The sequence below is a fragment of the Homo sapiens genome, chromosome 19, assembly GCF_000001405.40.
Source record: "Homo sapiens chromosome 19, GRCh38.p14 Primary Assembly".
Taxonomy (NCBI): domain Eukaryota; kingdom Metazoa; phylum Chordata; class Mammalia; order Primates; family Hominidae; genus Homo; species Homo sapiens.
Window position 1 is genome coordinate 39,834,298 of NC_000019.10, and position 14,683 is coordinate 39,848,980.

The 14,683-nt window shown below is 48.9% G+C and overlaps 1 protein-coding gene across 3 annotated transcripts, besides 1 other annotated feature; it reads right to left on the reverse strand.

Annotated features, from left to right (window-relative positions):
- Positions 161-12,082, reverse strand: FBL (fibrillarin). Of its 3 annotated transcripts, none has more exons than XM_005258651.3 (9): positions 11,994-12,082; positions 6,323-6,490; positions 6,117-6,218; positions 5,936-6,030; positions 4,738-4,908; positions 3,414-3,546; positions 2,259-2,371; positions 371-516; positions 161-265 (listed from the first exon to the last, which is right to left on the reverse strand). In XM_005258651.3, exons 1-9 carry the CDS (start codon positions 12,001-12,003, stop codon positions 241-243), a joined length of 963 nt encoding a protein of 320 aa, XP_005258708.1. In that variant the 5' UTR covers positions 12,004-12,082; the 3' UTR covers positions 161-240. The 3 variants fall into 3 exon arrangements, with proteins under 3 accessions (XP_005258708.1, NP_001427.2, XP_011524925.1); NM_001436.4 differs by having other exon boundaries at positions 6,320-6,490; XM_011526623.3 differs by lacking the exon at positions 6,323-6,490.
- Positions 10,887-11,627: an enhancer, noted in NCBI's record as "H3K27ac-H3K4me1 hESC enhancer chr19:40335824-40336564 (GRCh37/hg19 assembly coordinates)". NCBI's record gives its function as "activates a minimal SCP1, AML or CMV promoter by ChIP-STARR-seq in primed H9 embryonic stem cells {active_cell/tissue: H9 hESC(primed)}" and the evidence as "EXISTENCE:reporter gene assay evidence [ECO:0000049][PMID:30033119]".
- Positions 12,083-14,683: the final 2,601 nt, after the last annotated feature.

Consider the following 14,683-nt stretch of genomic DNA (forward strand, 5'->3'; position numbering starts at 1 on the left):
CCAAGAACCGAAATCCAGGCTGCCGCTGCGCAAAGGCAGCTAGAAACGGAGCATGCGCTCTGTGACCGAGTGAGAATTTACCCAACCCCGCAAAATTGACCAAGGGTGCGTGCTCCCTGTGTCAGCAGGTCAAGGGGAGGAATGAGCAGCAGACATGGGAGACGGATGAGTCTTTTAATAGAAAAACACACGTGCAACAGTATCAACACACATCTCTCGCAATCCTGACAGCGCTGAACTTCAGTTCTTCACCTTGGGGGGTGGCCTGTGAGAGGAAGATAGGTGATGAAGGAGGGTCCCCAGGATCATGGCACTCGGGGTGCAAGGGACAGAGATGTCTGTCTTGGTGTATTGCTGGGCCCCTGCTCACCTGTACACTCCCACGACCACGGCATGGTCTCTTTCATATGGCTCAAGGGTCAACTGCTCCTGCGGCTTCATGTTCTCCTGTTGCATCTTTTTCACTTCGGAGGCAAACACGGCCTCGGCTGAGGCTGTGGAGTCAATGCAGTTGGCCTAAAGAGGAGAAAGGACTAATGTCTACAACAGGGCTTTGGGCTGTTTTTCTCTTGTGTGCTCTTTAAACCAGATGTTTTCATTATTAATTCAAGTAAAACTCAGTGCTATGGTTCTAGTGTGTCCCCCAAAGTTCATGTGTTGGAAACGTAACCCTTAAATGCAAGAGTTGAGAGGTGGGACCTTCGAGAGATGATTCAGGTCATGAGGCCTCTGCCTTCCTGAATAGAGTAATGCTATTATCACAAGAGTGGGTTGCTGATTAAAAGGATGATTATGCCCCCTTTCTATCTTGCTCTCACCCTTCTGCCAATGGATGACAGCAAGAAGGCCCTCGCCAGATTCAGACCTCCAATCTTGGACTTTCCAGCCTTTGGAACTGGGAGCCAAATAAATTTCCATTCATTATAAATTACCCAGTCTAAGGCTGGGCGTGGTGGCTCACGCCTGTAATCCCAGCACTTTGGGAGGCCGAGGTGGCTCAATCACGAAATCAGGAGATTGAGACCATCCTGGCCAACACGGTGAAACCCTATCTCTACTAAAAATACAAAAATTAGTCGGGTGTGGTGGCGCACACCTGTAGTCCCACCTACTCGGGAAGCTGACGCAGGAGAATCGCTTGAACCCAGGAACTGGAGGTTGCAGTGAGCCGAGATCGTACCACTGCACTCCAACCTGGTGACAGAGTAAGACTCCATCTCAAAAAAATAAAAATAAAAATAAAAATAAATAAATTACCCAGTCTATAGCATTCTGTGATAGCTGCATAAAATGGGCTAAGACACTCGGGTTTAGGAAATGTGATAAAAGGCTTAATGAAAGTTTTTGGCTGGGTGCAGTGGCTCGTGCCTGTAATCCTAGCACTTTGGGAGCCTGAGACAGGCAGATTGCCTGAGCTCAGGAGCTCCAGAGCAGCCTGAGCAACATGGCAAAACCCCGTCTCCACTAAAAATATAAAAGTTAGCCAGGTGTGGTGGCACACGCCTGTAGTCCCAGCTACTTAGGAGGCTGAGGCAGAAGAATTGCTTGAACCTGGGAGGCAGAGGTTGCAGTGAGCTGAGATTGCACCACTTCACGCCAGCCTTGGTGACAGAGCGAGACTCTGTCTCAAATTAAAAAAAAAAAAAGTTTTTAGTTTTGTTTTGGATTTGAAGCAGGAAGCCTTAAACAGTCCTATTTATCTAAAAGCCAGTGCTTAAATTTTATACCCAGGAATTGTTTGGCTTATTTCTACTTCCTCTTCTTTAATAATAGTAATAATGCAGTTGAGAATAATAAAACAAATGTAGCAAAAGGCTAACAAATGGTGAACCTTGTGAAGGGTGCATGGGAGAGTTCTCCATTATTTCCAAATAAAAATGCTGTGAAAGATGCACCTAGCTTTTATCTAGTATCTATTCTATGCCAGGATCTTTTCTAAACACTTCATATTATATTGACTAATTTGATCCTGTCATCTACCCTGAAAAAGACTAGACAATATTTCTATTTCATAAGTGAGGAAACTGAGGCATATAGGTTAAGTAACTTGCTCAGTCACACAGCAGGCTGGGATTAAACTCAGATGGTCAGACTCAATTTTGCACTTGACCGCTGCACTCTCCTGCCTCTTTAAATCCAAAGCTATAGTTTTGCAGACTTGGCCCCTCTGTTTTGGGTGGCTATTTGACAGATACAGATAGAGAAGATACCTCCCTAGAACACTGCCACCCCATCTTAGACTCTTCCAAACCCCGCACCTTAATGGAAATCACAAAGTGTCCTCCATTACGCAGGAAGGTGTGGGCATTCAGGGCCACAATCCGGGTCTGGTCTGGCTGGGCCACATCAGCAAAGATCACATCCACCATTGCTAAGGAGAAAGGAGCAGCAGTTAAAAGTTGGAGTCACAGGGATCACCCCAGATCCTCCCATGGGGCCTATGCCCATCACCAGCAGGTTCCTGGGAGATTCTCCCTGCCTCCAGTTTCACTCCCCACCTCCACTGGTCCCCCTCCCTCCAGTGTCCCAAGATGAGTCCAAAACCCACAGTCACATCATTCATCCACTCTTCTTGTAAACCATGGTTGCCACCTACTCTGTGGCCAGCCCTGGGCCGGGCGTGGGGGACATAGAGACGAGTCAGACCCGGACCCTGCCCTCGAGACGCTCCCAGGTCTGGTGGGGAGACAGACACGTCATCAAAAAGACAAGTAAGAGTGAGTGAGCACTTATAGGCAAGAGTGTCCGCAGGACTGTGAAATGAAAACAAGTTGCAGAACAAAGGGGATGGTATGAGTGCATGGGAAAAATAAAACACAGAAAGAAAAAGGAGCAGAATGAAAAATAATGTTTTTAAGCCAGTGTGACTTTTCAAAAAATGAAAAGGTGGTATAATGAAAACTGATTATTTAAAACCTGGGAAAAGCAGACATCAAATTGTTCTCATCAGTTACTTCTGGCGGTGGTTTATAAGGCTTTTCAACTTTTATATTATATCTTTGAATGTTTTTTTAAACAAAGTAATTAATATTCACAGTGGGCCCCTCCAGATCAAGCCATGCTTAGTTTTCTGGGATATGCTCTCACCAGACAATGATTAGGACCCCCAAAAGGAGGCTTTTTATGGAGGGGTAGTGTAATAAATACAAGAGGCAGGAAGTACAGGAGACCTAGGAGATGGGGAGGAGACTGAAGGAGAAGAGGTTGGCCCTCCAAGGGTGGCTTCCAAGACTCTGAAGCCAAGCTGCCACCTCCACAACCTCACCTAGCTCCCCTTACCCCTTTCTATTCCTGCAGACTCAAGAGGTCTGCTCATCCACTCCAACTCCATCCGAATCAGAGATCCACTGGCTTCTTCCAGAAGCCTGCGGTGGCCTGTCCTACCCCACCGGGGCCACCCCCAGACCCCTCACCGATGAGCATGCGGTATTTGTGTGGGTGTCGAGCATCCTCGATCACAGGAATGATGTTGGTCCTCTTCTTGGCCAAGTTAATGAGGTCACGGCCAGAGCGGTGGGAGAACTCGACTGCATAGACTAGACCATCCTAAAATAAATTAAAAATTAATGAACAGTGATGCTAGTTCTCATGCATGGAGTGCCTACTTTAGGCCCATACACTATACACAGCATCTCTTCCAACCCCCAAATCAAAACCCTACCATCTAATGACTATTGCTATCATGTCCATTTTTCACATGAATAAACTGAGGTCCAGACATAAAGTCACTGGCCAAGAGTTATTCAGCAAGTAGCAAAAGTACCCAATCCCATCTGCCTGAGAGCCCAGGTTCCCAACAGAGGCTTAAAACCAGGAAGCCAAGGCACAGAGATGATGTAACAATGGGCCAACCACTGCTCTAAGCACCTTTCAGAAATTAACTCATTTAATCTTCACAAGTCTATGTTCCAGACAGGTAAACTGAGGCTTGGATGGGTTAGGTAACTTGCCTGATTAAAGCCTGAGGTTTTTTTTTTTTTTTTTTTTGAGTCTCACTCTGTTGCCCAGGATGGAGTGCAGTTGTGCGATCTCAGCTTAGTGCAACGTCCGCCTCCTGGGTTCAAGCAATTCTCCTGTCTCAGCCTCCCAAGTAGGTGGGACTACAGGCACACGTCACCACACCCAGCTAATTTTTGTATTTTTAGTAGAGATGGGGTTTTACCATATTGGTCAGGCTGGTCTCGAACTCCTGACCTCAGGTGATCCACCTGCCTCGGCCTCCGAAAGTGTTGAGATTAAAGGCATGAGCCACCTCGTCTGGCCAAAGCCTGAGGTTTTAAGGCACTACACTTAACAGCTTATAAACACATAAAGTAACAAAGGGTAACAGAGTGGGACACGTGGGTGCCAGGGGCCCTCTAAATGGGAAGCCTATACAGGCTCAGAAACCATGAAGATCTCCTGGTTCTTTCTAAAGAAACCAGAAGAGCAGGTTTTAGCAGCATAAAATTTTAAAGAGGCCCATCAAATCAAATAGTCTGGTATCTATACTCCCCGTTGTCTCTCTAAGGTTGGTCACCCCACACCCACGTCTCTTCCCTTGAGGCCAAGAACCCAGGAGTGAGGTTGAATGACATTATCTGGTTCAAGCCACTCCTTTTACTCACAGGCACAGTGACAGAAAAGGGCCTGGCCCTAAGTCACACAGCGCAGGCAAGCAGTCAAACCCTGATATTCCAGGTTGGCAGAAGGGAGGCAGCCTTTACCTCCTGCCTGACTCTCCATCTACTCACTCACCGGACCAACGATGTCAGAGACATGGGAGACCGTGGTGCCCGAGGCAGCCCCGAGGTAGAGAACCTTAGCCCCCGGTTTGATGTGGATCTGGTCCACACCACCCAGGATTGCTGCTGCTAGCTTGGAGCGGAAGGGGTTCCAGGCTCGGTACTCAATTTTGTCATCTCCTTCCTAGATGAGAGATGGGGACAGAAGTCAGTGCTAGGCTCTTCTGCAGGACCTCACTGCCTTTAACCCTAGGAGCCTTGAAAGGAACTGGGCTGTCCTATCACTGCACAAGAACTCAACATGAGTAAAGAGCAGTGACCATGCACATGCAGTCGCTGCCCTCTCATGGAGGTGACTGACCCAAAGGGCAGCAAAAGAGAATAAACACAAACAGTAACAGTAAAACCAGCACTTGTTCAACAAACATGCACTGTGCCAGCACCTACTGTGTGCCAGACCCTGCTCTAGGCGCTGGGGATACAAAACAAGGATCCCTGCCCAGAAGGTGTAAGTATTCACCGAACTAACTAAATACAACATGGCATATGAGATGGTGACAGGTGTTAAGGAGAGAAGACAAAGCCAGGAGAGAAGATACGGAGTTTGGGAAGCAGGGCAAGGAGCAGGTGAAAATGGGAAAAGGGGCCAGGGAGGGGCTGAAAGGCAGATTCCAAATCAGACCTGAAGGAGGCAAGGGGCCATTCAAGTTATCTGAGGAAGGACATTCCCACGAGAGGGAGAGCGATTAGGAAGGCCCCAAGGCAGGCACACCCTGGCCTCAAAGAAAATGACACAGGATAACAGGACAGGGGAGGGCGGTGAGGGATGCCTTGACCCGCAGAGTGGTGTGACGCAGCCTGGAGAAGCAGATGATAAGGACGCAGCCTCCCACAGAGCTGGGAGTGGGAACAGCAAGGCCAGGGTGGCTGGAGGACACTTGGTCAGAGAGTTAGTGAAGGAGACAAAGCCAGGGGGCAGGGAGGGGGAACTGGAATGCACAGGGTCTTGGAGGCCTGAGTGAAGACTCAGGAGTCTAACTGGAAGGCCGTGGGGAGTCACAGAAGGCGGATGAGGGAGCAGACAGTGTGGTTTACATATTATGACAATCCTCCAGCTGTCACGTGCAGGACACATGGTGAGGGCAGACACAGACTACTGGCTACACCCTCAGCTGCGACCCTGGTGGCTTGGACAGGGGCCCAGTTCTCACCGAAATCGAGACTCTCTTCTCTCCATAAACTGATTCCCCAGGGACCAGGTTCTTGGTGACCAGTGCATCTTCCTTTCCTCGACAAATGAAGACACCTGGGTGAGGGGATCAGAGCAGGGGTGAGGACCCCCAGCCTCTCCCTGCCCCGAAGCTCAGCCGGCTCCCTGCCTTCCTCACTCACCCTCATGCCGATGCGGCTCCACCATCACATTCTTCCCCGACTGGTTTCCTCTTTTTCCTCCCCGACCACGACCCCGGTTGCCACCAGAATGGAAGCCTCCACCTATAAAGGAGAGGTACAACAGGAGAGAAAGATCCTGAATCTCCGCCCTCCCCACTCCCCACCTCAGGAAGGCCTCCTCTGTAACCCCTAGCCAATCTTACCACCTCTTCCTCCTCCTCCACCGCCGCCGCCGCCTCCACCTCCTCCTCGTCCACGACCTCTAAAGCCTCCGCCTCGACCTCGGCCCCCGCCAAAGCCCCCTCGGCCTCCACGACCACCACGGTCACCAAAGCCCCCTCGGCCGCCAAAGCCACCCCCACGGGGACTGAATCCTGTGGGGGAAACAAAACAGGAGTCAGGGCAATGAAGCTTAAAAGGTTAAACCACCTTGTACCCAGCAATACCTCTCAGGTGAGAAACCTGAAATACATGTGCCCGTGTACAGCAGGACACATTTCCAAGAATGTCCACAGCAAAAGAAAAGTGAAGACTAACCCAAATGTCCATCAATAGAATGGGCAAATAAAATAGAAGACATTCACAATCAAGATCATGAAAATGACCTTCAGTTATACACAACAGACTAATAAATGTTAAAATCATAATAATTTTTTTTGCTTAGTGCTTTTTTTTTGAGACAGGGTCTTGCTGTGCCGCCCAGGTTGGAGAGCAATGGCACAATCACAGCTCACCGCAGCCTCGAACTCCTGGGCTCAAGCAATTCTCCTGCCTCGGTCTCTGAAGTAGCTAGATTACAGGTGTGTGCCACTACTCCCATAGTGTAGAGATGGGGGTCTCACTATGTTGCCCAGGCTAGTCTCCAGCTCCTGGCTCAAGTGATCCTCCTGCCTTGGCCTCCTGAAGTGCTGGGATTACAGGTGTCAGGCACCACACCCAGCCACAATCATACTGCCCAAGAAAAGGAGCAAGGGAATGAGAAATGTAAAACTCATGATATTGGTGAATGGGAAGGAGATATTAATATGGGGTTGGGATAGGGGAGGAGTACATGAATAGATGTAGGTTACTGTTAATATCCTGGTTTCCTTGGTTGCATAGCAGATTCACAGAATTCATTCCATGTCAATATTAATTACTGTGAAGAGTGAGCCCTGCATACGAGCACATGCTGTGACAACAGGGCCCCCTAGACTCTGCAAACGTCTTCATACTCTCCCACTCCTGACCTTGGAGCTGGAAGAAAAGTGTCAACCCCAGCCCCAAAACAGAGGGGAATACAGGATGATGTCAGCCCTAACTCATCTCCCTGCTTCCAAGCTTAAAGAAGTCCCTCTCAGCTCAGGGGAAAAACAAGAAAAAGCAGAACAAACTGTCATTTAAGGATAGGCTGCACTTTACAAGTAGTTTGCGACTTGTCAGTAAGATCGAAATGTTTAAGAAATAACAGACTCAGACAGGCTTTATTCTTACCAGTTCAGGACAACAAACACCATTAGCACAAAACAACGTTTAAAACAGAACTCTGGTGCTAACAGATTCAATATTTTCTCTGATTTGGTTTCAAAAACTCAGAAGTACTAAATCACACAAGTTAAAAAAAATAGTTGGAAAACTAGTGGTTTAAAATTATCTCACATTCTCACATGATGTAATCTATTCAATCATAAGCTTGCTTTTTTTTTTTTTTGAGACGGAGTCTCACTCTGTCACCCAGGCTGGAGTGCAGTGACACGATCTCGGCTCACTGCAAGCTCCACCTCCCAGGTTCACGCCTTTCTCCTGCCTCAGCCTCCCCAGTAGCTGGGACTACAGGCGCCCACCACCATGCCCGGCTAATTTTTTTGTATTTTTAGTAGAGAAGGGGTTTCACCGTGTTAGCCAGGATGGTCTCAATCTCCTGACCTCTTGATCCGCCCGCCTCAGCCTCCCAAAGTGCTGGGATTACAGGCGTGAGCCAGCGCGCCCAGCCTTGCTCATGTTTTTTGTAAAGATACATTATGATCTTGTCCTACGAACCCTTCATGCACCTTAATGGTATTAAAGATAAAAAATGTGTCTTTTAACAGCCATTCCTAATTTAATCTTTAAAAATGAACGGTTTCATTTTCAAAACTCCCAAACAACCAAAAGTTGTTTACTTTTAATCTTCTACTCCCTCTACAGTCCACTTTTCACACAGCAGCTAATACATGCTATTTTTAAAACAGCAAGTAAGATCTCATCATGCCCTTGCCCAAATCCCTCCAATGGTTTTCCACCACATCCAAAATGAAATAAAAAGTCCTTTCCCTGGCTTACAAAGCCTGAAATCAAAGCCTAAAATCTTTAGGCTTTAAATTCTGATTTCATTGTTCTGGGCGCAAGGTCTTCCCCTAAAGCTCTCCAGGTGACTCCAAGGTGCAGCCCACATTGAGTATCATCATCCTAAGGATCTGGCCTGTGCTGACTTCCCTGACTTCATTCTCTTTATGCTGGGCCCCATGCTCTTCCCCACCAAGCATACACAGTCCAGCTTCTAAATCTTTACCACGTGCTGTTCCCACTGCCTGGCTCCTGCAGACATGTGCATGGCTCACTCGCTCCTTCACTGCATTCTGGTCTCTGATAAAATGTTAGTTCCCCAGAAGGGCCTACTTTGGCCACAGTACCCTTACCCTGCTTTATTTCCCTTCAAATCAATTATCACACATGGCATTTTTAATATTATTACCACCTGCCTCCCCCACTAAGATCAAGCTCCAAATGGGCAGGGATTTTTAACTGTTTTGGTCACCACCGCATCCCCAAAACCCTGCACAACATCTGGCACAAAGTATGGGCTCAATAAATGTTAAATGAGCACTGAGCTGATGACTCTTAAACCCTGGGCCCTGCCTCAAGGAGAAAGCACCCTCTATTTGTTCAGAAAGCACACAATCCATCAGATGGTGACCAGGGAAGTGCCGGTCACTCCCCTCAAGTATCGCATATGGAGAGATAGGCAATGTTGCTGCCACTCTCGACCCTAGTAAGGAAGGTTCATAGGGGTCTTGAAAACTTCATCTGTAAGACATGGAGACAATACAGTGCCAGGCCACGCGCCATAGCTCATGCCTGTAATCCCAGCACTTTGGGAGACCCAGGCAGGCGGACAGTTTGAGGCCAGGAGTTCAAGACCAGCCTGGCCAACATAGTGAAACCCTGTCTCTACTAAAAATACAAAAAATTAGCTGGGCGTGGTGGCGCATGCCTGTAATCCCAGCTACTCAAAAGGCTGAGGCACAAGCATCAATTGAACACAGGCGGAGGTTGCAGTGAGCTGAGATGGTGCCACTGCACTCCAGCCTGGGTGACAGAGAGAGATTCTGTATCAAAAAAATAAAAATAAAAAAAATGCAGTGCTCATCCTATAGGGTTGTAAAGATTAAATGACTTGTACCCACAGAGCACATCACATATATACTATCTGGCACCTACTTTGAACATCATCATTCAAACTCAGGGGTACGCGTCTCCTCTTCCCTCCTCATGTACCAAAAGTACCCATTCCTCAGAAAAAACACATGTTCACACAAACTTTTCCAGTTAGTTCTTTTTTCATCTTTCTATTAAAGATGAAAATGTAACTTTTAATAGCTACTCCTAATTTGATCTTTTAAAATGAAGTTTCCTTTTCAAAACTCTAGAACATAACTAAGAGTTGTTCACTTTTTAATGTTCTACTCCCCCTACAGTCCACTTTCCACACAGCAACTAATAAGTGCTGTTTTTGAAACAGCAACTCAGATCTCAATTTTCTTGCCCAAGCCCTCCAACAGTTTTCCAAAGCCAAGACCTTCATTTAGGGGAGATGCCACAGCTAGGCTTATGAAAGTCTCAACCCAGGCCTAACAGAAAGGAAGTACTGGCATGTGCTTGGGGCGGAGTGGGCATGAGTGTAAACTTTCAATCCCAGATACTCAAAACATCTCAATCCGTTTCAGGTCCTGGAGCTTTTGGGGGAAAATGTACCAAAAGTACCCAGTCCTCAGAAAAAACACATGTTCACACAAACTTTTCCAGTAAGTTCTTTTTTTGGGGGGAGGGGGGTCCATAAACCCCCTGATTTAAAATCTGCTCTCCTTCCACAGCCTTCTCCATCTCAAAAATGGCAATTCCATCCTTCCAGTTACACACCCCCAAACCCTTGGTTATCCTTGACTCCGATCACACACCCACATACAATCTGTTGGTTCTGTCTTCAAAAGCATGTAAAACTGTCAGCATGTCCACTGCTCCCATCCTGGTCCACCACACCATCTCCTAGATTACAGCAACAAGCTTCCCACCAATGTGCCTGCTTCCACTTTTGCCACCCTGAGGTCTTTCACACATCGAAGCAAAAAGAATCCCTTTTAAAAATGTCAGACTGCACCACGCCCCTGCTCAAAAATCTCCCAAAGGGTTCTTTTCTCACTCAGGCTAAAATCCTTACTAAAGAGCTAACACCTGACAACTTTTACAACTTCACATTCTACCACACATGGAGGAAGGTTGGAAGAACGGGTATCCTCCATTTATGAGGGAATCACAGACCAGAATGCCTGCAGGCAAGCCAGGATCTCAGCATACCTGGCCTACAATCCCCCACCCCACTTCATCAAGAGATCCCCAAACACGGAAGAGAAAGGGAACTTGGGAGAAGGGCACAGATCCACAAATCTCCTGCCAGGTGACCCCCATCTCTCCACACAAACACACACACAAAAGAAAAAGAAAGCCTGTACTAGGAAAACAGACCCTTTGGGCCATGGTGGAAATTCTCCAAACTCAATGAAGCAAGTTCTCACACAGATGAGTGCGGGTTGGGCAGGCCAGATGGAGGAAGTGCTCAGGCACCACCGAGAAGGATTCTAATGTTGTTCTCTTTGAGAAAGATAAAGGTAACAATTAGAGCTAATACTATTATATGTCAAGCACTGTGCTATTTTTTTTAACGTCGCTTAATCCTAACTGGCGCCATTTTATTGATGAGAAAACAGAGGCTCAGAGAGGTAAAGCCACTTGCCCAAGTTCACACAGCAGGCTAAGAAGCTGAGCAAGAGCTGACACACTGAACTGAGGCCCTTCTGCTGTCAAAGCCAGGACCCCCTCATCATTCCACCATGAAGGGAGTGGTTTCAGCAGAATCTAGTGGAAAATCTTAAGAATAAAACTACTTACCTCCTGTGACAACCACCCGCCCCACCACCCCAGACTAATGCCGAGCTTGTTAAGTCTCGTCCCGGAGGTGGAAATCTTAATCCCCAAATCTCCACTCCATCCCCGGGGATCCGCCCCACTGTAAGTGCAGAAGGCGGGAAAGTGAGCCGAAGAGCGCCGCACACGGCCAACCGGGGAGTCCTCATCCACTCCGGCCCACTCGGAAAAGCTGGGATGCGGGATAAGGGGATGGTGGTGGTGGCAGCGACAGGGAAGGCAAATGGGGGCTTCCCACACACAGCTCCAGGACCCAAGGTCAGGAACTCTCCATCTCCGACCCAAGCCTGATTCCCAAAACACGCCCAGCGATCCAAGACTCCAGATGCCTGAATCCAAACTCTAGCCCAAGACCCTTGAGTGCCGCCTCCTGCCCAATATCCAAAATCCCTATTAGACGGCCTCAATGAGACGAACCCCACGTCAACACCCCCAATGCCAGGCCCACGGCCTTCTTCGACTCACGACCGTGACCTCTGAAGCCAGTCACAAACCCCTAGACCTGCTGGAATCAGAATCCCCCTTCCCACAGGAGACTGGAACCCGTGCTCAGAACCCCTGCCCCCAGGCCAAGGCCCCACCCCTCCGATTCTGGCCTGGCACCCGGATTCCCGCCCGGCCTCCGTCCCTGACCCCGGACCCTCACCCCAGCCTGACCTGGCTTCATGGCGAGCCCTGGTTTGTGCGGCTCCGGAGTCCGCGGCGTTCACAACTCCACGAGTCCGGGGCTTTCGCACGTGGAAAAGAGCGCAGGCGCGCGGCGACGTGCGCTGCGTGACGCCACCCCGTAGTCCCGCCCCCGGGCCCCTTCCCCGCCCGGAGCTCGGCGCACGCGCAGTGAGCCTGGATTCTCGAGCCTGTCGACACGCAACCCGCTGCCCTCGCTCTCTGCCTTCCCAGCCTTTGCCTGTGCAGCGGTCGCCCTAAACTCGCTTCCGGTTTCCTCTTCCCCAATGCGAGCACCCCAATAATCAGGGCTCATAGCCTTCGCACGGGCTGTGCCCTCTTTTGTATTCCTAGCTAAATCCCTCTGGCCCCTGTACACCCAAAAAGGCTTCCCCAATACATTTCCAGCCCCAAGAACAGTGACCGACTCTGGGCTTCCATTCAAACATCCGAAAAACATTTACAGTGCACCTCGTGTGTACCAGGTGCTGTTCTAGGAGCTGGGAATACAGCGGTGTACGAGACATAAAAATCTCCACTCTCCTGGAGTTCATCTTTTTAATGGAGGAAATAGACACCAAACATGTTGAATGTTTGAAAGCGATAAGTGCTTTGGAGAAAATAACAGCAGGGAAAGGGGATAGAGATTTTGGAGGGCAAATGATTTTTGTTTTTTTGGCACGGTGGTCAAGGAATGCATCAGGAGACTTTTGAGCTAAAGGGCTGAAGGAAGTGAGGAGTGAGGCATGCACCTATCTAGGGGAAGAGAGTTCCAGGCAGGGAAAAGATCTGCAGATGCAGAGGCCCTGAGGAAGGAAAGATATGGGAAGTTGGAGAGACAATGAGGAGGGTGGGTGGGGCAAAGTGAGCAAGGTGGAGAGTAAGAGGAGATAAGGGCGGGTAGCTAACAAGGGCAGATTGTGCGGAGCTTTGTGGGACATAGTGAGGACTTAGGCAGTAAGATGGAACCATGGAAGGGTTCCAAGCAGAGAAGGAATGTGATCTGACACAGGTCCCTCTGGCTGCATGTGGGAAGCAGACTGCAGGAGTGAGGGTGAAAGCAGGAAAACCAAGGACTGGCTGCTGCCGTGAATCAGAAGAAAAGGATGGACAGATCAGAGTGGGGGCAGAGAGCGGCGTCAGGGGTCAACAGATTCTGCTTAAGTATTAAGAATTTTGGGCTTTGTAATTGTGTAATATCAGTATCCATCCCTATATTCATTCTGCAAAGCAAGACAACTGCTGTTATGAGAAGTTACCGAAAAACTCCAGAAGAACCTACCAGTCCAGAGCCTAGATGTTGACTCTGTTCCATTCACTGCTCTATCACTCTAGGCCTAGGACAGCCCTCTGGGTGCCCAGTAAATGTTTGTTGAATGAATGGATGGCCTCATACCGTTGTGAGTTCTCTGTGTACAGTGTTCCAGCTGTGGAATGCCACCAATTTGCACAGAAACATTCCTGAAAGATTGTTTAGATATTATGATGGAAAATCTGCTTAAACTTTTCAGAACCGGTCGGGGCAGTGGCTCACACCTGTAATCCAGGCACTTTGGGAGGCCGAGGCAGGAGGATCGCTTGAGCCCAGGAGCTTAAGGCCAGCCTGGGCTACAGAGTGAGACCTTATCTTTACAAAAAATAAAAAATTAGCTGGGTATGGTTGCTTGCACCTGTAGTCCCAGCTACTCAAGAGGCTGAGGCAGGAGGATCCTTTGAGCCCAGTAGGTCTAGGCTGAAATGAGCCATGACTGCACCACTACACTCCAGCCTGGGTCACAGAGCGACACCCCTGTCCCAAAACAAAAACAAAAACCAAACAAAAAAAACTTTTTAAAAACTATGAGATGAAATAGTTGAGTCTATTCTGGATTTCTAGATGTGCAATGATTCCAGTGGGTCCAATTCCGGATAATGTTACCTATTTCACATGGATTTTACTATTTGCCTTCTAATTAATATTTTTCTTCTAAAGGACAAAAGTACTCAGAGTGCAGTGCAGATTTAGGGGATTCCAGCCCTATTTCTTGGAATCCTGGCACCATCTCCTGCTTCTGAGATACTTTGCCTGCTAGCTTGCTCTGAAGACCTGAAATTGGCTCTATCGGTAAGTAATTAGTGGTGGAGGTGCCTGTTGGTCTTGTGCTGGGGACACAATGGTGGCTAAAACAGCCCCGGGTCCTGTCCTCCTGGAGCTGCCAGTCCAATAGGAGAGACAGACAGGTTCCCAAACAGTGTTGGCCCAGAGGGGTCAGGGCTGGGACAGGCAGAGGGGTAGGAGGGCAATGGGGGAAGCACCGGCAGAAATGGGACTGGGGAGCCCCAGGCAGGGGGCTCAGGGCCAGGATAGGGGAGGCCCAGGCAGAGAGGTGGGAGGGGGATGGAGGAGACACTGGCAGGCAGGGCAGGGCAGGGATAGCGAAGCCCTTGAGGACTTTTCCCAATATTCCCCATTTCCTCAACTCCCTCTGAACCTTCCTGTGACCTTCTTGCTCTAAGGAGGACTCTGCCCTGAAGACCTCCCTTTCCAAGCGGGGCTGTTTTCTCCTTCTCGGCCTTCATGTCCACTGGATCTGTAGATGGGAGAAGAGCGTCCTTGCTCCTCACTGGCACTTCTAAACCATTGTCTCTGCCTCCTCCCTGAACCCTAGGTCTGAAGCTTACACAGTCACACTGTAGCACCT

Bases quoted from the DNA above. Each gene is read 5' to 3' on its own strand.
- FBL (NM_001436.4), bottom strand. The intron at 6,219-6,319 runs GTAAGATTGGCT...TCTCCTTTATAG, and splicing joins TGGAGGAGGAGGAAGAGGTG to GTGGAGGCTTCCATTCTGGT. The intron at 6,031-6,116 runs GTGAGTGAGGAA...CCCCTCACCCAG, and splicing joins GGAGCCGCATCGGCATGAGG to GTGTCTTCATTTGTCGAGGA.